This window comes from Homo sapiens, chromosome 12 (genome assembly GCF_000001405.40).
Source record: "Homo sapiens chromosome 12, GRCh38.p14 Primary Assembly".
Classification (NCBI taxonomy): Eukaryota; Metazoa; Chordata; class Mammalia; order Primates; family Hominidae; genus Homo; species Homo sapiens.
This window is the reverse complement of record NC_000012.12, coordinates 104,138,600-104,163,854: the sequence shown is the minus strand read 5'-3', so window position 1 is coordinate 104,163,854 and position 25,255 is coordinate 104,138,600. Positions and strand designations below refer to the sequence as shown.

At 42.8% G+C, this 25,255-nt stretch overlaps 1 long non-coding RNA gene across 1 annotated transcript, besides 6 other annotated features; it reads right to left on the bottom strand.

Annotated features, from left to right (window-relative positions):
- Positions 3,133 to 3,302: an enhancer, noted in NCBI's record as "experimental_23754 CRE fragment used in MPRA reporter constructs". NCBI's record gives its function as "activates a minimal promoter by MPRAs in K562 erythroleukemia cells, with activity observed for both the introgressed and non-introgressed 12:104554416 variant alleles {active_cell/tissue: K562}" and the evidence as "EXISTENCE:reporter gene assay evidence [ECO:0000049][PMID:34662402]".
- Positions 7,889 to 8,058: an enhancer, noted in NCBI's record as "experimental_23747 CRE fragment used in MPRA reporter constructs". NCBI's record gives its function as "activates a minimal promoter by MPRAs in K562 erythroleukemia cells, with activity observed for the non-introgressed 12:104549660 or rs61939200 variant allele {active_cell/tissue: K562}" and the evidence as "EXISTENCE:reporter gene assay evidence [ECO:0000049][PMID:34662402]".
- Position 7,973: a transcriptional cis regulatory region, noted in NCBI's record as "Neanderthal adaptively introgressed variant 12:104549660 (GRCh37/hg19 assembly coordinates) or rs61939200 in the experimental_23747 CRE". NCBI's record gives its function as "modulates activity of the experimental_23747 enhancer by MPRAs in K562 erythroleukemia cells {active_cell/tissue: K562}" and the evidence as "EXISTENCE:reporter gene assay evidence [ECO:0000049][PMID:34662402]".
- Positions 8,901 to 9,070: an enhancer, noted in NCBI's record as "experimental_23744 CRE fragment used in MPRA reporter constructs". NCBI's record gives its function as "activates a minimal promoter by MPRAs in K562 erythroleukemia cells, with activity observed for the introgressed 12:104548648 variant allele {active_cell/tissue: K562}" and the evidence as "EXISTENCE:reporter gene assay evidence [ECO:0000049][PMID:34662402]".
- Positions 9,138 to 9,307: an enhancer, noted in NCBI's record as "experimental_23741 CRE fragment used in MPRA reporter constructs". NCBI's record gives its function as "activates a minimal promoter by MPRAs in K562 erythroleukemia cells, with activity observed for both the introgressed and non-introgressed 12:104548411 variant alleles {active_cell/tissue: K562}" and the evidence as "EXISTENCE:reporter gene assay evidence [ECO:0000049][PMID:34662402]".
- LOC105369947 (uncharacterized) lies at positions 15,270 to 23,624 on the bottom strand. The gene is made up of 3 exons (XR_945286.2): positions 23,157 to 23,624; positions 17,361 to 17,465; positions 15,270 to 15,383 (listed from the first exon to the last, which is right to left on the bottom strand). It is a non-coding gene; the product is annotated as an uncharacterized LOC105369947 (long non-coding RNA).
- Positions 24,908 to 25,077: an enhancer, noted in NCBI's record as "experimental_23735 CRE fragment used in MPRA reporter constructs". NCBI's record gives its function as "activates a minimal promoter by MPRAs in K562 erythroleukemia cells, with activity observed for both the introgressed and non-introgressed 12:104532641 variant alleles {active_cell/tissue: K562}" and the evidence as "EXISTENCE:reporter gene assay evidence [ECO:0000049][PMID:34662402]".

Here is a 25,255-nt window from a genome sequence, read left to right as displayed (position 1 = left end):
AGACTCTAGACTGAGTGTCACCATAAATGGCTATAAATTAACCTAACGATGCCACAGGCTGGACACCATAACTCATACCCTATATATAGTCCAGTAATATACAGCCAATCACTAACCAATGTTATTTCTCTAAACCAATGAGAATTCCTGACAAATAACTTTTGTAATTGCCCCCTCTCCTGATTCATCCTTTTTTCTTTAAAACCTCGAGCCACTTTTTTATTCTCCAGAGCACTTCCCAAGGTAATTTGGAAGTGTTTCCCAGGCTGCAGTCCTCAACCTTGGCCCATATAAATATTTACCTGTTTTTGCCTCAGTTTATTTCTTTATGTCAACAACAGGCTGAAGGTAAAAAAAAAGAGTAGGAACAAATATGGCTGGGGAAAACAGTTTAACTTGAAATACGAAATAATTCTAACATACAAAAATTGTATCCTTCATCAGGCTTTTTGGCATTCTCCATATTCAATACTTTTTTAGAGATTCCTGATGTGGTTGGCTGTGTCCCCACCCAAATCTCATCTTGAATTGTAGCTCCCATAATTCCCATGTGTTGTAGGAAGGAGCCAGTGAGAGATAATTGAATCATAGGGGCGGTTTTCCCCATGCTGTTCTTGTGGCAGTGAACAAGTCTCACGAGATCTGATGGTTTTATAAGGGGTTTCCCCTTTCACTTGGCTGTCATTCTCTCTTGCCTGCCATGATGTAAGACATGCCTTTCACCTTCTGCCATAATTGTAAGGCCTCCCCAGCCATGTGGGACTGTGAATCCATTAAACCTCTTTTTCTTTATAAATTACCCAGACTCGGGTATGGCTTTATCAACAGTGTAAAAATGGACTAATACAGTTCCTTTAATTTTGTTTACTGACATAGCATTATCAATCAACTTGGCCTAATTGCCATTTATACAACATTCCACCCAACAAGAGCAGAATGCAAATTCTTTTCAAGTGCACACAGAACATTTACCAAGATAGAGCATATTCTGGGCCATAAAACAAGTCTCAACAAATTTAAAAGAATTCACTTCCTACAAAGTGCATTTTCTGAACACATGAAATTAAATTAGCAATCAATATCAATATTTGGAAACTAAATAAAGCACCCTTACCCTTGGATCAAAGAATAAATCAAAATGGAAATAGGAAAGTATTTCAAACTAAATAAAAATGAAAATGCAACATATCAAAGTTTGTATAGTGCAGCAGAATTTAGAAGGAATTTTGGAATAATAAATATTTACATTATAAAAGAAGAAAGGTGTGAAATCAATGACTCAGTTTTCATATTAAGAAACTAGAAAAAGAAAAGCAAATTAAACCTTGAGTAAGTAGAAGCAAATTAAACCTTGAGTAAGTAGAAGGATCCATAAAGATCAAAGCCAAAATCGGTAAAATGGAAAACAGGAAAACAATAAACATTAATACAATCAAAAGCTGATTCCTTGAGAAAAGCCATAACATTAATACATCTCTAGCTGAATGATCAGGAAGAAAAGTAATAAAATAATTTTTTTTTTCGAGACAGGGTCTCACTCTGTCACCCAGGCAGGAGTGCAGTGGCATGATCTCAGTTCACTACAACCTCAGCCTCCTGGGCTCAAGCAGTCCTCCTGCCTCAGCCTCCCAATTAGCTGGGACCACAGGTGGGCACCACCATGCCTGGCTAATTTTTGTATTTTTTGTAGAGACGGGATTTCGCCATGTTGCCCAGACTGGTCTTGAACCCCTGGCTCAAGCAATCCTCCTGCCTTGGCCTCCCAAAGTGCTGAGATTGTAGGCACGAGGCACTGCACCCAGCCTAAAACAAATTATTAGTATTAAGAATAATAGAGGTAGGGATGGGCGCGGTTGGCTCACACCTGTAATCCCAGCACTTTGGGAGGCCCAGGCAGGCAGATCACCTGAGGTCTTGAGTTTGAGACCAGCCTGACCAACACGGAGAAACCCCATCCCTACAAAAAATACAAAGTTAGCCAGGCATGGTGGCGGATGCCTGTAATCCCAGCTATTTGGGAGGCTGAGGCAGGAGAATTGCTTGAACCCAGGAGGCGGAAGTTGCGGTGAGCTGAGATTGTACCATTGTACTCCAGCATGGGCAACAAGAGCAAAACTCCATCTCAAAATAGTAATAATAATAATAATAATAATAATAATAATAATAATAATAGAGGTAACATCATGATATTTATTAAAAGGATAAGGGAATATTATTATCAACTTTATGCCAATAAATTCAACAATTTAGGTGAAATAGACAAATTCCTTGAAAGCACAAACTACCAAAGATATGATGAATCTGACAGATTCATGATTAAAAAAAAAAAAATTAGCCAGGCGCGGTGGCTTATGCCTGTCATCCCAGCACTTTGGGAGGCTGAGGTGGGCGGATCACAAGGTCAGGAGACCGAGACCATCCTGGCTAACACAGTGAACCCCTGTCTCTACTAAAAATACAAAAAAATTAGCCGGGCGTGGTGGCGGGCGCCTGTAGTCCCAGCTACTCGGGAGGTTGAGGAAGGAGAATGGCATGAACCCGGGAGGTGGAGGTTGCAGTGAGCCGAGATCATGCCATTGCACTCCAGCGTGGGCAACAGAGCAAGACTCTGTCTCAAAAAAAAAAAAAAAAAAAAAATTCTAGGCTGGACACAGTAGCTCAATTCTGTAATCCCAGCACTTTGGGAGGCTGAGGCAGGCAGATTGCTTGAGCCCAGGAGTTTGAGACTGGCCACGGCAACATGGCAAGACCTCATCTCTATAAAAAATACAAAAATTAGCTGGGTGTGGTGGTGTGAACCTGTAGTCAGCTACCCTGGAGGCTGAGGTGGGAGGACTGCTTCAGCCTGGAAGGTGGAGGCTGCAGTGAACTGTAATTGTGCCAAGGCATTCCAGCCTGGGTAAGGGAGGTTCCTGTCTAAAAATAAAAACAAAAACAAAATCTCCCCAAAGTAGGAGTAGAAGGGAACTTCTCAACTTGCTCTAGGGTGTTTATCAAAAACCTACAGGTAACATCAAACTTAATGGCTACCAACTAAATGTTTTCCCCCTAAGATTAGTTATAAGGGGAGAATGTCTGCTCTTACCACTTCTACTTAACATTATACTGAAGACTCTAGCCAAGGAAAAGAAATAAAAGGTATTTATATCAAAAAGGATGAAGTAAAATTGTGTTGATTCACAGATAACATGATCATTCTTGTAGAAAACCCAATGGCGTCTACAAAAAAAGCTACTAAAATAAGTGAAATTGCAGGATACAAGCTATTTCTACAAAAATTCCTATGTACTAGCAATGAACAATCAGACACTAAAATTAGAAAAACAATACCATTTTCAATAGATTAAAAAATTATGAAAATTTAAGTCTTCTGGACTTTCAAATCTCAGGACAGCCCAAGACCCTGGTAATTTTCTGTGATCCTAATGGCTGAAGCAAAATAAGTTACAGTAAAACAAACAAACAAATGAACAAAAAACCCAAGACAACAACAACAAAAACTTTACAAAGAATGAGTGATATTACTAATCTTTTTTTTTTTTTGAGACAGAGTTTCGCTCTTGCTGCCCAGGTTGGAGTGCAATGGCATGACCTCGGCTCACCACAACCTCCACCTCCCAGGCTCAAGCAATTCTCCTGCCTCAGCCTCCTAAATAGCTGGGATTACAGGCATCTGCCACCACACCCAGCTGATTTTGTATTTTTAGAGACAGGGTTTCTCCATGTCGGTCAGGCTGGTCTCGAACTCCAGACCTCAGGTGACCCGCCCGCCTGAGCCTCTGAAAGTGCTGGGATTACAGTCGTGAGCCACCATGCCCGGCCACTGCTATTCTAAACTCACTCAATTAAGTAAAAACAGATAGCTACAATTTTCACATTAAACATTCGGTCTTGTAATCCCACTCTCCTGTATACCTAATTTAAATACATTTAAAATGTTTTATTTAGAAGAATGGTAGTATGTTAATATTTAATCCTCTCATGTATAAAATTTGAGTGAGCAAAGAAAAATATTACATTCATCAAGAAATACAGTCTTCTTAAGCTAAGGAACCATAATTCCAGTTATTCATGTGTAAAATGCAGCAGCAATGTTCATGGAAAAAAATGGAATTTTTAACCATGTGAGCTGCTTTTGCACTTTGAGAAAATGAACAATTTTGTTGTAGATGTCATTGTCCTTCCTTGCATTCAGAATGTGAATGTTCATATACTTTGCAAAATAAGACCTACAGTTGCCCTTGAATCTGTATTTAATCAAAAAAAATTTTTGTTTTGAGACAGGGTATTTTTGTATTCTTTTTAGTAGAGACAGAGTTTTGCCATGTTGGCCAGGCTGTTCTCAAACTCCTGATCTCAAGTGATCTGCCCATCTCGGCCTCCCAAAGTGCTGGGATTACAGGCATGAGCCACTGTGCCTGGCCTGTATTTAAATTTTTGATATAAGAGGAAAATATAAAAATAAATGTGCCTACCAAATAGAAATGTTCTTCACCTACTTCAAAATTAAAATGATCATTCCAGCTAGTTCTCCTTATAAACTCCAATTATTTTTTTAATTATGAAAATCTGACAAAGAATTGCAAGACCTAAACAGTGAAAACTATAAAACATTGCTGAGATAAAGATGATTTTAACAAATGGAGAGATATACTATGTTCATAGGTCAGAAGGCTCAGTATTATTAAGATGTCAATTCTCTCCAAATTGCTGTTAATTTAATGCTAATGAAAATTAGTGCAGGCTATTTGTAAAGAAAAAAAAAAGACAAAGTGATTCTAAAATTCATGCAGAGGCCTGGCGTGGTGGCTCACACCTGCAATCTGAGTACTTTGGGAGGTTGAGGCGGGTGGTTCACTTGAGGCCAGTAGTTAAGACCAGCCTGGCCAACATGGTGAAACCCTGTCTCTACTAAAAGTACAAAAATTAACTGGGCCTGGTGGCACATGCCTGTAGTCCTAGCTACTCGAGAGGCTGAGGCAGGAGAATCGCTTGAACCCAGAAGGTGGAGGTTGCAGTGAGCCAAAATCACACCACTGCACTCCAGCCTGGGTGATGGAGCAAGACTCTCTCAAACAAACAAACAAACAAAAAAGATGGGAACAATAGACGCTGATGTCTACTAGAGAGGGGAGAAAAGGAAAGGGGTAAGGGCTGAAAAATTACTTGTAGGGTACTATGCTTGTTACCTGTGTGATGGGTTCAATCATACCCCAAACCTTAGTATCATGAACTGTACCTTTGTAACAAATGTGCACATGTACCTTCTGATTCTAAAATAAAAGTTGAAGAAGAAGGCTGGGTGTGGTCACTCATGCCTGTAATCCTAGCACTTTGGGAGGCTGAGGCAGGAGGATCACTTGAGCCCAGGAGTTCGAGACCAGCCTGGGCAACATGGCAGAACCCCATCTCTACAAAAAATACAAAAAAATTAGCTGGGTATGGTGGTGTGCACCTATATTCCCAGCTACCCTGGAGGCTAAGGTAGGAGGATTGCTTGAGCCCAGGAAGCTGAGGCTGCAGTGAGCTGTGATTTTGCCACTGTACTCCAGCCTGGATGACAAAGTGAGACCCTGTCTCAATAAAAGAAAAGAAAAGTTAAAAGAAAAAAGACAGTGTGGTATCAGCATAAAGACAGAAAAATACTGCAATAGAACAGAATAGAGAGTCCAGAAACAGACCCACACATATAAGAATAACTGATTTTTTTACCTTGTCAATGCTACTTGCAAGATGAGGCTATAAAATACGTCTTGGTTACTCTGTCTCATGCCAGCTGCACTGTGAGAAACCCTTTGGAGAGCCCCCTGTGTCAAGGTACTGAGAAGGTACTGTCATGGTACTGGGAAGATCCCAACAATCATGCGAGAAAACTTGGAAGTGAATCCCCCAGCCTCACTCAAGCCTTCAGATGACTGCATCCTCGGCAAACAGTTTGACCAAAACCTCATGACAGAGTTGGAACCAGAACCTCTCAGCAAAGTTGCTATTAGATTCTTGCCCCTGAGAAACTGTGTGAGATAATAAATGTTTGCTGTTTTTTTTGTTGTTGTTGTTTTTGTTTTTGAGATGGAGTTTCACTCTTGTTGCCCAGGCTGGAGTGCAGTGGAGCATTCTTGGCTCACTGCAACCTCCACCTCCCGGGTTCAAGCGATTCTCCTGCCTCAGCCTCCAGAGTAGCTGGGATTACAGGCACCCGCCACCACAACCAGCTAATTTTTTGTATTTTTAGTAGAGATGGGGTTTCTCAATATTGGTCAGGCTGGTCTCAAACTCCTGACCTTAGGTGATCCACCCGTCTCGGCCTCCTGAAGTGCTGGGATTACAGGCATGAGCCACGGCACCCAGCCAATGTTTGCTGTTTTAAGGCACTAAGTTTTGGGAGTAATACTTTACACAACAATTGATAACTAATAGAGGGACTATTACACAGATGTGACCAGGTTTAGGAAAACCAGTAAGAGCCAGTGTAGTTCCTTACGGTAACAACAGCCAGAAACCACTTGACACCCAAGTGTGAGAAAGCAAAGGGAAGGATGCATTTCAGAGTCTATGGAGAGTAGGGGAGTTGGGGGTGGCCCCACCAGGGCTACAGGCTTGGGTAGGGGGAGGCAGCAGCCCAGCAGGAAGAAGCCAGGGAAATAAACACCCAACCTTGATTTCTTCTCTTCTTTGTTCTGTTGGTACCTCTCCTCACTGGCCAAACTCAAGAGTAGGTAGGGCTTGAGTTCTGCAGCTGGAAGAAGGAGGAGGCCACAGGGCTGGGCAGAGGTGAATAGATGCCTTAGGGCAGGGTTCCCAAATACCTGGGCCACTGGCTGGTACCAGCCTGTGGCCTGTTAGGAACTATCTGAGCTCCACCTCCTGTCAGATCAGCGGGGCTGTAGATTCTCTCAGAAGCACAAACCCTGTTGTGAACTACGCATGTGAGGGATCCAGGTTGTGGGCTCCTTATGAGAATCTAATGTCTGATGATCAGTCACTGTCTCCCATCATCCCCAGATGTGACCACCTAGTTTCAGGAAAACAAGGTCAGGACTCCCACTGATTTTACATTATGGTGAGTTGTATAATTATTTCATCATATATTATAATGTAATCATAATAGAAATAAAGAGCACAATATCTGTAATGCACTTGAATCATCACAAAACCATCCCTCCCATCCCTTGTCCATGGAAAAAATGGTCTTTCATGAAACTGGTCCCTGGTGCCATAAAGGTTAGGGACCACCGCCTTAGGGAGTAGGAGGCAGAGGTAAGATTTACACCTGGGCTATGGACATGGAAAAAGAAAAATGGAGGTGAGTAGCAGGGCAACAGCAAGAAACATCGGGTGGGGAACAAGAAGGACTGTGATTTGGACCACGATAAGGTTGCTCACTGAGCAGCAGAAAGTTCTCTGATGGGCAGATCCAAGGGGCGGTTCAGCTTGGAAGGGCTTCTAGGAACAGAAGTGGCTTAAAGACTGTTGTGCTGGCTCTCCACTTCCTTATATTTCAATTGTTGCCCTAGACCAGAGGGCAGCAAACCTTTTCTGTCAGGGGCAGATAGTAAATATTGTAAACTTTGCATTGCAACAACTCTGCTGCCATTGTAGCAGGAAAGCAGCAAAGACAATACATAAATGAAAGATGTAGCTGTGTTCCAATACCACTTTCTTTACAAAAACAGGCAGCGGGGCTGCAGGCCGTAGTTTGCCAACCCCTGCCCTAGACAGGTAAGAATTTTTTCATTGTTTTGCCTTCAGGTACACTTAAAAAATTTTTTTTAAATTTTAATTGTTGTGGGTGCATAGTAGGTGTATACATCTTCAGATAGACTTTTGAATGGGCCTTTTCCCAGGTCTGGCTCCTGCCAGATAAATTATCTGAACTTCTTTCAGAGTACCAGGAATGAATGAGTCAGTAGATTCTGCTGTAATTCCTACGGATGTCTCCGAATGAATGCATGTGTAGTTAACTAACTATTAATGAGGGATATGGAGCAGGAATTTCCAGTTCCAACATTAGATTTAAGGTATTTTCTGAAAATATATTAGATTAAAGGATAGTTTTCCTTTCATACCAGGAACATATTTTAGCCTGGTGAAATGTTTAAGAAATCAGACATGTCCGAATTCACAACCTGTCATTTTCTAGCTGTTTGGTTTGCTGAGCCAGTTTTCTCTCCTGTAAAATAGAGATAATACCCACCTCATAGGTAATGACAGGCCATTATTATTATAAGGGATAACAAATACACTCTTTCTTACTTAAAACTTTTTCTCTCTTCTACTGTCCTCTTGAAAATGACTGGTTCTTGAAGTTTGTTCCCAAACTGCAGGCTTTTCATTCCCGAAATGCTCTTCAAGCAAAACCAAAATAGATCCCAGACAATTTATATATTCACTGAGACTCTGATTGCAAGCAACAGAAACTGAATTCAAACTTACAGAAGGGAAGAAAAAGAAAGATAAGAGTGACTTATTGGATACTAGAGTAGTTCTCAGAATTGAAGCTCAACAATTCAGCCTTAGGTAAAGAGGAACTAGAGAAGCTCAGGGATATTCAGGGATTAAGTGCCCCTTCCTCAACTCCCCCCACCTCCCCCTTTCCCCCTGCCATCATTTCTCTCAATTACCTTTCCTATGTAGACAAGTATTTTCTATATCTCAAGGGAGGTATCTGTTGGGAATTCTGGGTCACATCATGACTTTGTCACCTAGGAGCAAAGTAAATGTTTGCTTTTTCTTCCACTAGATCTAGATTTTAAAACCCAATAGAATGATCCTATTTGGCCTGATTTGGCCCACTCCTCAAGCTAATCCCTGTGGCTGGGGGAGGTGAGGTACTGTAATCAGCCTGGCTTGTGTCAAGTACCGTGTAATAGGATTGGCTGCACCCTCTAGGATCATGTAGTTGGAGGTGGGGGAAAAGCAATTATCCCCAAAGAAGGAGAGCAATGTCACCGAAAGAAGAGTGAAAAGGCATGCTGGGCAGACAGGTGTGTGCTGTATTCACAAGAGAATTCTACTCTATTGACTATATTGACAATTATTTTTATAAGTGCCTGCTATGATTACAGTGCTAAGATCCTTAAACAAACATGGCCACTGACTTCTGCCACTGTTGGAGGTAGTGGAGGCAGCTGTCAGGCAAGAGGGCCATGAATAGGGCATTTGGAATCAATTTAGTGTAAGATGTGGGAATACAGGTGCACACCACCATGCCCAGAGTTGTCGCAATGCAAAGTTTACAGTATTTACTATCTGCCCCTGAAAGAAGGTTTGCTGCCCTCTGGTCTAGAGCAACAATTGAAATATGAGGAAGTGGAGAGCCAGCACAACAGTCTTTAGGCCACTTCTGCTCATAGAAGCCCTTCCAAGCTGAACCGCCCCTTGGATCTGCCCATTAGAGAACTTTCCGCTGCTCAGTGAGCAACCTTATCGTGGTCCAAATCACAGTCCTTCTTGTTCCCCACCCAGCATTTCCTGCTCTTGCCCTGCTACTCACCTTCATTTTTCTTTCATTTTTCATATTAGGTAGGGTTTCTACATAATAGTTTTCTTTCTTTTTTTTTTTGAGACAGTTTCCCTCTGTCACCAGTGGCGTGATCTCAGCTCACTGCAACCTCCATCTCCCAGGCTCAAGAGATTCCTGTGCCTCAGCCTCCCGAGTAGCTGGGACTACAAACATGTGCCATCACACCCACCTAATTTTTGTATTTTTAGTAGAGATGGAGTTTCACTGTGTTGGCCAGGCTGGTCTTGAACTCCTGGCCTCATTTGATCTGCCTGCCTCAACCTCCCAAAGTGCTGGGATTACAGGCATGAGCCACCACACCTGGCCTTTTTTGATTTTTTTGAGACAGGGTCTCACTCTGGTTGCCAAGGCTGGAGTGCAGTGGCACAATCTTGGCTCACTGTGGCCTCGACCTCTTGGGCTCAAGAAATCCTCCCACCATGGCCTCCCAAAGTGCTGGGATTACAGGCATGAGCTACCATGCCCCACCTACCTAATAGTTTTCTAAATGATCAGGTGTCCTGTAAAAGCTCTATTTTAGTGCCATAAAATGTAAAAAACCATTTTTTTTAGCTGAATATCTTAAAAATGTAAAGCCTAGTTCAGAAGTGTCTCCCCTTTTTGAAGTCCTCTTTTGTGTCCCTCAAGTTCTGCGTACTTCTCATCCTGGGTTCTCTCTGGGATCCTAGGCTTGTGTCACTAACTATAAGCCTTGCAATAATTTATTTTGCACTGCATATTATCTAAGAGGTGATATGTGTTTGTTTGTTTGTTTTTTTTGAAACGGAGTCTCGCTCTGTCACCCAGACTGAAGTGCAGTTGCACGATCTCGGCTCGCTGCAACCTCCATCTCCCAGGTTCAAGCAATTCTCCTGCCTCAGCCTCCACTGGGATTACAGGAGTGTGCCACCACACCTGGCTAATTTTTGTATTTTTATTAGAGATGGGGTTTCACATGTTGGCCAGGCTGGTCTCGAACTCTTGACCTCAGGTGATCCACCCACCTCAGCCTCCCAAAGTGCTGAGATTGCAGGTGTGAGCCACTGCACCCGGCCAGAGGTGATATATGTTAACTCAGATGACAGGAGATGTCAAGCAGTATCACAATGAATGAAACTAACTTCTCTTTTAGTTATTATGTCTGGGACCATACCTGACATGGGATACAACCAGTACTAGCTTAGACAAAATGGAGAACTAGAGATTGAATTCTGCAGAGTCTCTCCTCTGTTTCTCCTTTCTGCTATTCTCTTAGTGTTTTGGCTTTTTCCCCAGGACTGGTGGCAAGTCAAGCAACAGCCACCAGGGCAGCTCCACCCAGCTTTGATACCAGAAAGGGACTGACTCTTGCTCTCCCTGGGGTCAAGTTTACAAACCCTGGGTAAGGGTTCTGGCCTGGTTCAAAGACTGTATCCAGTGGGGCAGTAGAGGCTCATGTCTGCCCTGGCTTGAATCAGGTGCCCAATCCTACACCAATCACCAGGGGCCAAGGGGATGGGATCTGTCAGAAGAGAGTGGTCTGCTCTCTGTTCCCATGGGAACCTCACAATTAGAGTCAGGGAAATGTACATTTCCCAGAAGAAGGGGGAAGCCTATTCTGGATGAAAAACAGCAGCAGGCCTCTTCAGAGTTTACTGTCTCTGCACCTGTGATGTGGGCACCAGTAACAACATGAAAAACGGAAGGGAAAGGCAGGAAAAGGCAAGGTGGGGCTGGGAATAGAGATGGGTCTCCCAGAGGAGGTCTGGGACTTGAACTGGGCTTGGAAGGCAAGGACATCCCTACATGAGACAGCTGGGGAAGGAATTTTTGGAATGGGTTGGAGGTTGAACCCGCCTCAGTGGCCAAAACTCAGATCTGTCATCAGAGGCCAGGTTGGTAACATAAACTGAGAAATAGCCTGGTAGAAGCCAGGGGTTGGTGGTGGGGCTTGGGGGAAAGGAAAGAAGCCATGGCTTTCCCCAAAATACATTTAAATCCCTCTCAAAGTTTGGGGTAGAAACCCCCCAGACTTGTATAGGTGAAATAAAAATAAGTATGCTGCCTACAAAGGCAACTGGATAGGAGTTTGTAACCTTTGAGCTAGATGGTCTCAAGAATTTTTTAGCAATTCCTGCTGGGTGCAGTGGTTCACGCCTGTAATCCCAGCACTTTGGGAGGCCAAGGTGGGCAGATCACTTGAGGTCAGGAGTTTGAGACCAGCCTGGCCAACGTGGTGAAACCCCGTCTCTACTAAAAACATAAAAATTAGCCGGACATGGTGGCGGACACCTGTAATCCCAGCTACTCAGGAGGCTGATGCATGAGAATTGTTTGAGCCCGGGAGGCGGAGGTTGCAGTGAGCTGAGATCATGCCAGTGCACTCCAGCCTGAGCGACAGAGTGAGACTCCATCTCAAAAAAATAATAATAATAATAATTTCTTAGCAATTCTGTTGTTGAATCTGTGACTGATTATAGGCAAACAAAGTGGGGGGAGCATTTCCAGCCAGGAAAACCCTATTTGGGAAAGTGATTAAGACAGGATTGTGCCAAGTTGGGAAGACGCAGTTTGCAGAAAATCCTTTACTTAATAGTTCATAAAACTCAGAGACCCCCTCAGAGTGAGGTCGTAAATGCTTTGTTTTTTCAACTTTATCACCTAGGCTCAGAAAATTCAGTTGTGGAAATTCTGTCTGTGCTTATAATTTTTTATCCTTTGAATGGGTTCTCATTAAACTCAATCAGTGTGGAACTGGAGGCATACAGGTGGGAAGATCTCTGATTTTGAGGCAGCAGAAGTGTAAGGGCTCTGGAGACAGGTGGGAGTGACCTACACCGAGCCTGTGGGATAACTCTGTCTAGGTGTTTGTTGGAGGTGAAGGAATCAGGGGAGGTGGGGTGGAGTGGGATTACTCTTTCAATGATTTATTCATTTAGTACACTTTTATTCAGCTTTGAGCCAGGCACTGTTCTAGGCACAGGGGGTGCAAGGATGAAAAAGACAGATATGGTCTGGCTCTCCACAAATTTACATTCCAGGCCAGGCACAGTGACTCACACCTGTAATCCCAGCATTTTGGGAAGGCAAGGTGGAAGGATCACTTGAGTCCACGAGTTCAAGACCAGCTTGGGGAATATAGGGAGACTCTGTCTCTACAAAAAATAATTAAAAAAAAATTAACCAGGCATGGTGGTACATGCCTGTAGTGCCAGCTACTCTGGAGGCTGAGGTGAGAGGATCACTTGAGCCTGCAGTGAACCATGATCGTACTACTAGACTCCAACCTGGGAGACAGAGAGAGACCCTGTCTCAAAAAAAAAAAAGAATTTAATTTCACAGGGAAATGTGCTTTAGTGCAGCAGTCCCCAACCTTTTTGGCACCAGAGACCAGGTTCATGGAAGACAATTTTTCCACGGATGGTGGTGGTTGGGGAGGGGAGTTGGTTTCAGGATGATTCAAATGCATTACAGTTATTGTACACTTTATTTCTATTATTGTTACATTGTAATATATAACGAAATAATTATCACCATAATGTAGAATCAGTGGGAGCCCTGAGCTTGTTTTCCTGCAACTAGGCAGTCTCATCTGGGGGTGATGGGAGATAGTGACAGATCATCAGGTATTAGGTTCTCATAAGGAGCATACAACTTAGATCCTTCGCATAAGCAGTTCCAATAGGATTCACGCTCCTATGAGAATTTAATGCTGCTGCTGATCTGACAGAAGGCGAGGCTCAGGCAGTAATGTGAACGACGGGGAGCAGCTGTAAATACAGATGAAGCTTCGCTTGCTTACCTACTCGCTACTCACCTCCTGCAGTGCAGCCTGGTTCCTAGCAGGCCATGGACCGCTAACAGTCCATGGCCTAGGGGTTGGGGACCCCTGCTTTAGTGAGACAGATGGAGATAACTACAAGACCTTGTCTTGGAGGATCAGGGAAGGCTTCCTGGATGAGGTGATAGCTAAGCTAAATTATCTGAGGGGTGTATAGGAGTCAGCCAAGCAAATGGCAAGGGCTGAGGAGTCAGTTGCCACAACTTTCTGGGTGGGATTACAGATTAAGCAAACCAAGAATGTGCTTGGGGATCAGCAAAGCAAGGAATTTTTTTAAAAAAGAATTTGATATTGAGAAACATAGAAAATTGTCCATCATGAGAAAAGCCAGAGCTTTGTGGGACTTCTATCCACATACTCTACAGTGAAGCATCCTTTTTATTTTGAATTACATAGGGGTAGATATGGCATCGTCACCTTTTCAGTGCTTGGAGCCACTGAACAGCCTGAGGAGTCACCCTGGCTTCAGAGGTGGAAGGGATGTCTCTGGCCCCCCATTTTCTCTCCTCCACTTCCCTCTGCAGTTTCTTCCCCTCCAGGCTCAGCCTGCCTCAGCACCCTTTCCTTCTAGGGTATTTCCTACAGTCCTTATTAAAATTTACTGCTCTTTTATTCCTTCCTTTGGGCACCTCTAATCCACAGTGTTAATTATCACATAGTATATCAATTACTCCCATAACTGCTAAACTAGGTAAACTTTAATAGGTGGCATGATTCTACTGTAATAGAGAAAAATTAATAACTACACTTTTTAAATACTCACATTCTTAATTTTGATTTCTTTTTTAGTAATCCTCATCTCAACAGTTGTAAAGCAATAATAATAATGGCTAATAATCTTAGCTATTTTTCAATGTGCGAGGCTCTCTTTGAAGATCTTTATACTAACTCATGCCTCTCAACAACTCTGTGAATTACCTTGTTATCTGCAAAGTGGATGAGGAAGGTCATCAATTTGCAGAGGAAATTGAGGCACACAAATTATGTAGCCTGTGGACCCAAGATCACTCAGCTGGTAATTAGTAGCAGCAGGATTTTAATTTATCAACCTAAATAACAAACAGAGAGGGGCCCTCTAAAAGAAGATGATGTTTGGGAATAGAGCACTGCAATGGGAAAACACATGCCATTGTAAACTATGTGAGTGTTCAGGGAGGTAAAGGAAGACAAAGGTTTCTAAAGAAAAAAATGAGAAGGATTACAAAATTGTTTTGAAATAATTGTCTTTGGCTACAAAGATCAATAACAAGGGTGATACTGGTCCAAGGTTGGACAGGCAGCTGCTGGACAGATGATCTTGCAGAAACACTTTTTGGGCAAGGTTGTAGTTTTTGTGGAGTCTTTTTTGTTATCAGGTACACAAGCAGGAGATCCTTTCTTCATGGACTTTGCCATGAAGAAAGAGATAACTTCTTAGGGTTTTCTTAAAATTAGTGACTCCATTTTGATTTTGACAACTTTCACAAAACCAAACAGTCTACTCCACAGCCCATCCTATCATCCACTCAAATTACCCAAACCAACCACCTAAGAGTAAACCCCATTTCTTCACTATTCCCTTTTTGGTTGTTGTTGTTGTTGTTGTTTGTTTGTTTTTTTGTTGAGATAAAGTCTTGCTCTTTTGCCCAGGCTGATGTGAACATGGCTCACTGCAGCCTCAACCTCCCAGGCTCAAGTGATCCTTCCACCTCAGCCTCCTAAGTAGCTGGGACTACTGGCACGTGCCACTATGCCCAGCTAATTTTTAAATTTTTCGTAGAGACAGGGTCTTGCCATATTGCCCAGGCTGGTCTTGAACTTCTGGGCTTAAGCGATCTGCCTGTCTCAGCCTCCCCAAATGCTGGGGTTACAGGTGTGAGCCACCTGGCCTTATTCCTTTTTTGCACCAAAATGTTCTACCCCTGAAATGTATCATCAATCCATTCACTGCACTCCATCTTTCCACCTCCATCCCCACTGCTATAGAAGAAACCATCAGGAGAGCTCACCAAGAAGTAAGTTCCATGAGTGCAGGGACTTGGTTTTTTGTCTCCGTTGTCTCCCCAGGGCCTGGCTGACACACTGCAGATTTTCAATAAAAATGGACCAAATGAATGAGTTCTTAACTGAAATCAACAAGAATGCATTGAGCACCTATTCTGTTTTACAGAGAAAACTGTTGACCTTCAACATATTTGCTTGCAGTTTTTCTCTGTAAGTATTCCTATATATATGAATTGGGATCATATTGTATCTCTTTATAGTTTGCTTTATTCTCAACATCTTCCCATGTTTTAAAAAATTCTTTGAAAATATTTTTATAGCAGGACAATATTCTATTTTATGACATGTTTTCTAATCATTTCAAATTGTTAGACAATGAAGTTGTATTTGTTATTTATTGCTGTGTAACAAATTACCCCAAAACTCAATGGCTTAAAACACCAAACATTTAGTAATACTATCTCAGTTTCAGCGGGCCAAGAATTTGGGAGTGGCTCTGGCTCAGGGATTTTTAGTGCTGCAATCAAGCTATCAGCTGGGCTGTGGCTATCTCAACACTCAGGCAGAGGAAGACCCACTTCCAAGCTCGCTCACTTGGCTGTTGGCAGAATTCAGCTTCTTGCTGGCTGTTGGCTGGAGACATCAGTTCCTTATTCTATTTATCTATATCTATACATATCTATATCCCTCTATATGACTATAGATATAAATATATAAATATATAGATCTATCTACAGATAGATCAATAGATATAGAGATACACACACACACACACACACACACACACACACACACACAGTGAGACAGAATGAGAGAGAGAGAAAGGTGACCCAAGATGGAATTCATGGTTATTTTGTAATCTAATATTAGAAGTGACCTCCCATTTTGCCTGCTGAATTTCATTCACTAGGAGTGAGTTGCCCTGGCACTCCTCTCTCTCCCCAGCCCGACACCCTGTGCCCTCAAGCTGCCAGGCCCCCTCCTGTCAGGGAGGACAGTGTCCAATAAACTCCTCCACCCACAGGCTTCCTGAGCTTCGACAACCCGGCCAGCGTGCAGACCGCCATCCAGGCCATGAACGGCTTCCAGGTCAGCATGAAGAGGCTCCAGGTGCAGCTGAAGCGGCCCAAAGGCACCAGTTGCCTGGACTGAGCACCCGTGGGAGCATCTCCCGCGGGAGAGCAGGACTCGAACAGGGCAGGATGCTGAACGGGCTCCCTTTAAAAACCTGCACATGTATATCGGAACTTCAAACCAAATTAAATAAATAAACAAATCTCTCTCTATTTATAAATGAGAACTGTTGGATGACACCCTTGACATATTAGCCGATATCAATCAAGCTGAAGACTCCAGACACTGTCTGTGTGACTCTAACATTTCTTCAAGAAAAAGAGCATTTATGGAGTTAAGAGGTCACATATTTGGGGGAATATGTATGACATAAATAAGAAGATGAAGAAAAATGAAAAAAAACCCACACGCACACACACATAGCAACTTTAAAACAAAATAACACGAGACCAGACGTGAGGCTGAAGGGCTGGGAACTGGTAGGAGAGGCTGCTTTTCCAGCCTACAAGCACCTGAAGCAGGCCTGGTCCACAGGGGATAGCTGGGAGGCCACTGAGCATCTCTATCTGTCGTTCTTTCAGCTATTTAGGGACCAAAGGACCAGACTTTTTATGGCAGCTCTATGTGTAGCCCTGTGTCAAATGGAGGGGGAATGGAGGACAACCTCCTTCCTGTCTCGTGGCTGTTCTTGACACAGCTTAGAGCGATTCTACAAAAAAAGTAATAAAAAAATTTAAAAAAAGGAAAAACAACCTGTCACTGCCTTTCAAACAGCAAGATAATAGTTCTTTGATAATTTGAGAGGCGCTTTGATGAACTTTGAGAGGTGCTGTGACACTTTCCTATGGTTTTTTGTATTCTATGTCTGGATGGAGCTGTTAAGATGAACAAATTGGTGGATATTTGGGGAAAGCAACACAAATCTTAAAACTCATTAACTGCAAAGTGTGAGAAAACAAGGAGGGGAAAAAAGGGACTTACCAGGCAGGGTCATTGTTGTGAAAAGTCTGTAAATGCTTCTAACTCTTCCCCTTCTTAAAATCATAATAGTTGTAGAGAATTTTAAAAAGGAAAAGCCTAAAATACCTATATAATAGAAGAAAAATAGAGAAAAGCAAAATAAATAAATAGATAAAAATGGAAAAAAAAAAAGATGTGAGTCGATAAGTCCAGCCCATACCCCAGGGGAGGACAATACACAAAGGTGTGAATACTAGGAGGTGCAGAGCCTTCGGGCCATTTTAGTTTGCTTACCACATAGTTTTCCCCCAATTGTTTCTATTGTTAACAGCGTTGTTATGAATATCTTATTACTTATTACCTGTATTACAAATGATTTCCTGTGATAGATTTTTTTGACTAGGTGTGTAAGAACACTGATAGGGTTTGGCTGTGTCCCCACCCAAATCTCATCTTGAATTGTAGCTCCCATAATTCCCATGTGTCATGGGAGGGACCCAGTGGGAGGTCATTGAATCATAGGGGTGGGGCTTTCCTGTGTTGCTCTCATGATAGTGAATAAGTCTCACGAGATCTGATGGTTTTTTAAAGGGGAGTTCCCCTGCACATGCTCTCTCACCTCCCGCCAAGTAAGACGAGACTTTGTTCATTTGCCTTGTGCCACGATTGTGAGGCATCCCCAGCCATGTGGAACTGTAAGTCCATTAAACCTCTTTCCTTTATAAATTACCCAGTCTTCAGTATGTCTTTATCAGCAGCGTGAGAACAGACGAATATAAATGCCTTAAAAGCTGCCAAAGCACACACTGCTTTCTAGAAAGCTCTCCCATTATCAGCATATAAGAGCACCTATCTCAGGCTGGGTGAAGTGGCTCATGCCTGTAATCCCAGAACTTTGGGAAGCTGAGAAAGGAGGATTGCTTAAGTCCAGGAGTTCAAGACCAGCCTGGGCAACATGGTGAAACCTCATGCCTACAAAAAAAAAAAAAAAAGAACATCCATCTTATCACATCTTCATCTTCATCTCTGCTGTAAAATTATTTGCTTATGTGTTAGGTTTCCCCATTTTAATTTGTCTTTGAGGTGAACCTTTTTCCCTGCCCACATGTTCATTAGCCATTTGTATTTTTTCTTTTATGAGTTTTCTATTTTATGTGCTTTGCTCATTTTTCTATTGGGAATTTAGTGTTTTGCTTAGAATTTAGTGTTTTGCTTATCAATTTGTGTGTGCTTCACATATAAAAAGATATGAACATATACGAAAAGGTAGGATCCTTTTGGTAAAAGCTTTATTGAAATATAATTTACATACCACACAATTTTCAAATTTAAAGTGTACAATTTACTGTTTTTTAGTATACTCGCAGATTTGTGCAACCATCCTCACAATTTTTTAAAAATTTTCTTATTATTTTTTGAGATGGAGTCTCATTCTGTTGCCCAGGCTGGAGTGCAGTGGTGCAATCTTGGCTCACTGCAACCTCCACCTCCCAGGCTCAAGCAATTCTCCTGACTTAGCCTCCTAAGTAGCTGGGATTACAGGCACCTGCTGCCATACCCGTCTAATCTGTGTATTTTTAGTAGAGATCAGATTTCACCATGTTGGCCAGGCTGGTCTCGAACTCCTGACCTCAAGTGATCTGCCTGCCTCAGCCTCCCAAAATGTTGGCATTACAGGTGTGAGCCATTGTGCCCGGCCCTCACAATTTTAGAACATTTTCATCACCTCACAGAGAAACTCTATACCTTTTAGCTATCACACCTCGGGCTCTCCCATCTCCTCCCTTAGCCCCCCACCAAAGAATAATCTGCCTTCTCTCTCTATGGATTTGACTATTCTAGATATTTAATATAAATGAAATCATATAATCTGTGGTCCTTTGTGTCTGACTCCTTTTACTTAGATAATGATTTCAAGGTTAATCCATGTTGTAGCATATATTAGAGCTTCATTTGTTTTTATGGCCAAATGATATTCCATTGCATTGATATATCATATTTGCCCAGCTACTTGGGAGGCTGAGGCAGGTGAATCACTTGAAGCTGTGAGGTGGAGGTTGCAGTGAGCTGAGACCGTGCCATTGCACTTCAGCCTAGGCAACAAGAGCGAAACTCTGTCTCGAAATAAATAAATAAATAAAAATAAAAGAAGAAAGCTGCCATAAATGTATATGTTTTTGTATGGATATATATTTTCATTTATCTTGGGCATACACCAGGAGTGGAATTGCTGGGTCAAATGGTAACTTTTATGTTTAGCTATTTGAGGAACAACCAGACTGTTTTCCACAGTGGCTGTACCACTTTACATTCCCACCAGCAGTGTGTGAAGGTTCCAGTTTCACCATATCCTTGACAACACTTGTTACTATCGATCTTTCTGATTCTGGCCATCTAGGTGGGTGTGCAGTGATATCTCACTGTGGTTTGATTTGAATTTCCCTTATGACTAATGATGTTGAACATCTTGGCATATGCTTGTTGGCCATCTGTGTATCTTCTTTAGAGAAAAGTCTATGGGGACCCTTTGAATAAATAGTTTTTTTTTTTTTTTATAAGAGGGACTGGGGCCAGGTTTGAGGCTTGGTTTCCAGCTGTGTGACTTCTTGGTTTCTTAAACTATGAGCTTGTTTTCATGTCTTTTGAGTTGGGCAAATAACACCTATTTCATAAGGTCATTGTGTGGCTGAAATGAGAAAACATGCAGGTAGCATTTAGCAGAGTTCCTGATATGTAGTAACTATATAATAGATGAGAGCTGTTTTCATGATTTTTTTAAAAGGTAACAACACAATAAGAACTATGTTTTCTATGACCTGGCATTCATATGTAGGATTAAGAAAACAAGTTTTCAGGAAGATTAATATGGCCATGTTATATTAAATGGACAGGGACACCAGTTTGGAAATGACCCAAGAGTTTAAGCAAAAAAATAAAGGAAATGAGAAAAGAATGTTCTCTGCCCTTCTTTCCTATCAGAGACAAGGATTTCCTCCTGTCCTCAGCCTCAGCAGCCCTAGAAACGAGAGTGATCTTGCTGCTTTTTCAAGCTGATCAAGGATTTTTTAGTCATCTTTGTATATTAACTTACCCAATACCTGGGGAAATAGTGATGAATATGTTTTGGATTTTTTGATTAACACATCATAATAATGTGAGGAATTTTAAATGTGTTCATTAACTGTGTTTCTGTGGAGGAAGATGGCACATAAGGCTTTGGTAATCTCAGGGTCATTTATATTATCAATTAAAACAATTTTATACCATACCTGTGCATGCATTCATTTAGTACATACTTATGAAGCCCCTACTATGTGCCAGGCACTGTTTTAGGCTCTGAGAATACAATGGTGAACACAAGGTCTTTGCACTAAAGGAGTTTATATTCTAAAAAGGTGAAACATTCAAAGTCCATTCATTCAACAAATATTGAGTACCAACTGAATGCTGGACACTATTTTAGATGTGTGGGATGCATTGGTAAACAAAACAAGCCAAATTCCTTGTCCTCATAGGGCTTACATTTTAGTGGGAAGAGACAGACAATAAATCATAAACATAACAAATAAGGAAACTATATAATATGTTAGAGGGTTATAGCTGAGTGGGGGTAGGGAGTTGGAATTGCAATTTTTAGATAAGTGATCAGGGCTGGCCCCATTAAGACATGGAAGGAGGTGAGGGAGTGAGCTATGTGGCTATCTGAGGGAGAATGTACTAGGCAGATGGAACAGCCAGTGCAGAGCCCCTGAGGCAGGAGCATTCCTGGCAGAAATAAGGACTGCAAGGAGTGCAATTAGCAAAGGAAAAGGTAGGAGGAGATGAGGGTAGAGGGGGAGCGGAAAGGGAATAGATCAAAGATCCCATAGGTTGTTGCCCAGTGAAGAGGCCACCATTCACGTCTGCAACAATTAAGTGCTGAACATATTTCTTGCTAACCAGAGGACAGCAGTACTTGTAAGACAGTGTCTCTGAACAAAGGAATCTGTGAATCTTATACAGTGTTTTGGGAAGCATGGGGTTCGGAGGTTGGGGAACTCTTAGAAGCTGGACTGTTTAGAGATGAGTTGAACTTTAGATGTGGAAGAAGGATTACTAGAGTGTGGCTGTTGCTGATTGGCTAATTTTCAGAAGCAAGTCACTGATCAGGAGATTGTTATTGATTGATTAAAACAGATTCTGGTTGTTTCTTGTCACTATGACCAAAGAACAATCAGTATCTTTTTGTTGCTCAATTTGGAATGAAGGAACTTGCCACTCTGTCTTACAAGGCCACTGGAAAGTCTTTGTCTTTTACTTTGAGAGAAATGAGGAGTTAATAGGGGATTTTTGAGCAGTGGAGTGACAGGATTTGACTTATATTTTCAGAGGATCTGAAATCTTGGCTGCTGTGTACCAGAGTGGAAGAGGGGAGACAAGTCACTGCAGTCACCCTGATGAGAGATGTATTAGGTTGTTGTTGCATTCCTGTAAAGAAATACCTGAGACTATGTAATTTATACAAAAAGAGGTTTAATTGGCTCACGGTTCTCCAGGCTGTATAGGAACCATAAGGCTGGCATCTGCTTCTGGGGAGGCCTCAGGAAGCTTCCAATCATGGTGGAAGGCAGAATGGGAGCAGGAACTTCACAAGGCAAAATCAGGAGCAAGAGGGAGAGGGGGAGGTGCTACACACTTTTAAACCACCACATCCCAAGAGAACTCACTCAGTATCTCGAGGACAGCATCCAGGGGATGATGCTCAACCATTCATGAGAAAGCTACCCCCATGATCCAATTATCTCCCACCAGGCCACACCTCCAACACCGGGGATTACATTTCAACATGAGATTTGGCTAGAACATCCAAATCCTTTCAGGAGATGTGACTTGAACCATGGTGGTAGTAGTATGGGCAATGAGAAGTGTTTTCTCCCTTTTTTTTTTTTGAGACAGAGTCTTGCTCTGTCACTCAGGCTGGAGTGCAGTGATGCAATCTCAGCTCACTGCAGCGTCCACTTCCCGGGTTCAAGTGATTCTCCCATCTCAGCCTCCTGAGTAGCTGGGACTACCAGCATGCAGCACCATGCCCAGATAATTTTTGTACTTTTTGTAGAGACAGGGTTTCACCATGTTGGCCAGGCGGGTCTCAAACTCCTGAGCTCAAGCAGTCCACCCTCCTCAGCCTCCCAAAATGCTTGGATTACAGGCATAAGCCACTGAGCCTGGCCTGTTTCCATTTTAGATATATGTACTTATAGCCAACAAATAAACAAGATAATCCAGTTAGGCTAAGGGTATTGGAGCAAATATCATATTTACTTTTACATAGAATAATATAGCTGGATGACAGGATAGAGAGTAACTGGGCGGGGCTACTTAAGAAGAAGGGATCAGGGAAGTCCCTCATTGAAGGGGCAAGACCTCAGTGATGAAAAGAAGCCAGTGAGGATCTTAAGGCTGGTGCGTGTGTGAGGAGCAATGCATAGGCCAGTGGGTCTAGAAGGTGGTGAGGTCAGGGTTGAGGAAGAGCCACAAGCCGGGTGGGAGAGGGAAGCTGAAGCCAGATCCTTCTAGGCCTCAGTGCATAGAATGGATTGAGAAGAGTGGAGCAAGAGAAGAATCAGGAAGGTGGAAGTGGAGACAATATTCTACTAGACCCTGTCCTCATGGGAATTTTACGAGACCTCATTGAAGTGATGAAGTAAAAACTGTGAAGTCTTCATGGGGCCAGGGATTCTGTTTCATTGTTTGCTTAATTATGACGCCTAGAGAAATGGCGATATGAACTAACTGGCAGCTGTGGTGTACAGACTCGAAATAAAGACACTCAATTACCTGTCTCTGACTTTGAATGCAAAGACTAGGTTAGCTGCAGTGTTTTTTCCAAGACTAAATTATGATCTTGGCCTTCCTCTTTCACCAAGTCATCAGAAAAGTGGTTAACATTTATTGGGGGCTTCCTGAAATAGATACAGAAGAAACAGAGAACACAGGTTGGTTGTTAAGGCAGGATGACCTAGGATCCAACTGCAGAGGGGATGTGGACCGGGTTCCATTTCTCCTAGAGTTCTGGCTCCTCAGGGTAAGGAGAGTGATTCATTCACCTTTGTAGCCCTTGGGCTCCTAGTACAATGCCTGCAGAATGTAGGAGCTGATATTACCTTTTAGTGGAATTTGAATTAAGCACATAGTTTAGATCCACAGTACTGAAATGATAAACTATTAACTCAGAAAAGTAGTCATCTTCGCATCTTTTGGTTCACCATCCAGAATTGGGAGAAGGATTAGTCATCTTTCTCCCAATTCTTTTTTTTTTTTTTTTTTCCTTTTTTGAGACAGAGTTTCATTCTTGTCGCCCAGGCTGGAGTGCAATGGCGCGATCTCAGCTCACCGCAACCTCCGCCTCCTGGGTTCAAGTGATTCTCCTGTCTCAGCCTCTCGAGTAGCTGGGATTACAGGCATGCGCCACCACGCCCGGCTAATTTTGTATTTTTTAGTACAGACGGGGTTTCTCCATGTTGGTCAGGCTGGTCTCGAATTCCTGACCTCAGGTGATCGGCCTGCCTTGGCTTCCCAAAGTGCTGGGATTACAGGCGTGAGCCACCATGCCCAGCCCCTTCTCCCAATTCTATTACTTTATATTTCCTGCCTTTGAACCTTTGAACACATCATTTCACTCCTTAATCTCCACTTTATGGGTAAGCATAGAGAAAGGGAGAAATTAAACTCAGGCCAATTTTTCCTTTTTTTTTTCTAAGCAAATAACACCTTTTAAATGTTTGATGGAGATTGAAGAAATTCATGCTATATAAAGATCTTAGGATAACTTTTTTTTTTTTTTTTTTTGAGATGGAGTCTTGCTCTGTCGCCTAGGCTGGAGTGCAATGGTGTGATCTCGGCTCACTGCAACCTCTGCCTCCCGGGTTCAAGCGATTCTCCTGCCTCAGCCTCCTGAGTAGTTGGGATTACAGGCGCCCACCACCACGCCCGGCTAATTTTTGTATTTTTAGTAGAGACGGGGTTTCGCCATGTTGGTCAGGCTGGTCTCGAACTCCTGACCTCAGGTGATCGGCCTGCTTCGGCCTCCCAAAGTGCTGGGATAACTTTTTTTTTTTAAAGGGCTTTCTATGTATACATTATCCCAAACAACCCTGAGAAGCAGACATTTGGCCAAGATCACAAGCCTGTAAGAAGGGGAGTTGGAATTCAAGTCAGGTTGTCTGATGACAGTGGCATTGCTACTTACTCCTCTTGTCACAATTTGGGGCTTTCATTTGTCTTTTCTTCCATACTTGCCGCAGAAATGTTTAAATACTCTGAGAAACAGTAGGAACTCTATAAATAAAAGATCTCTGTATTTTTACATAATCAAAGCTGGAGAGTTTAATGTGGTGCAGGCCACTCGGTTAGTGGAAGCAGAGGGCATGCCATCCCCAGCTCCGGTTGCAGTGAGTGGATCCAGTGTTGGATTACCCACCTCTGGGATGGTCACTGCTAAGCGAAGCTGAACTCAGGACTGCAGTTTGAGAAAGACAGCGAAGGAGCTTGGCTGCACAGAGGCAAGAACGGGCCACGGATTCTTGCAGCCAAAATGTCATCTGGTTGGGAAAAGCCGCTTGTCAATCTGCAGCTACTAGAGGGGTGGGGGTGGGTGGAAAATGCAGCATCTTAAGTTCAAGATTCAGGGTGAAGGCTGGCTAGACTTAGCAGGGGTCTGCATCTTTAGATGAAATGTGAAAAACACCCAAGCTCAGGGACCAAATGACAGGGAGCGCTGTGCATGCGGCGACGCTAACAGGGACCCAAGGAAAGAAAACACGAGGCGCTGAAGGCGCTCCAGGAGGCCCCCGCCGTTCAGACCCTCCCGGTGGCTCGGGCGCGTCGTCCTAGGGGGCGGCTTCTGTCCTTGGTTTCCCCTTCTTAAAAATCCAGGC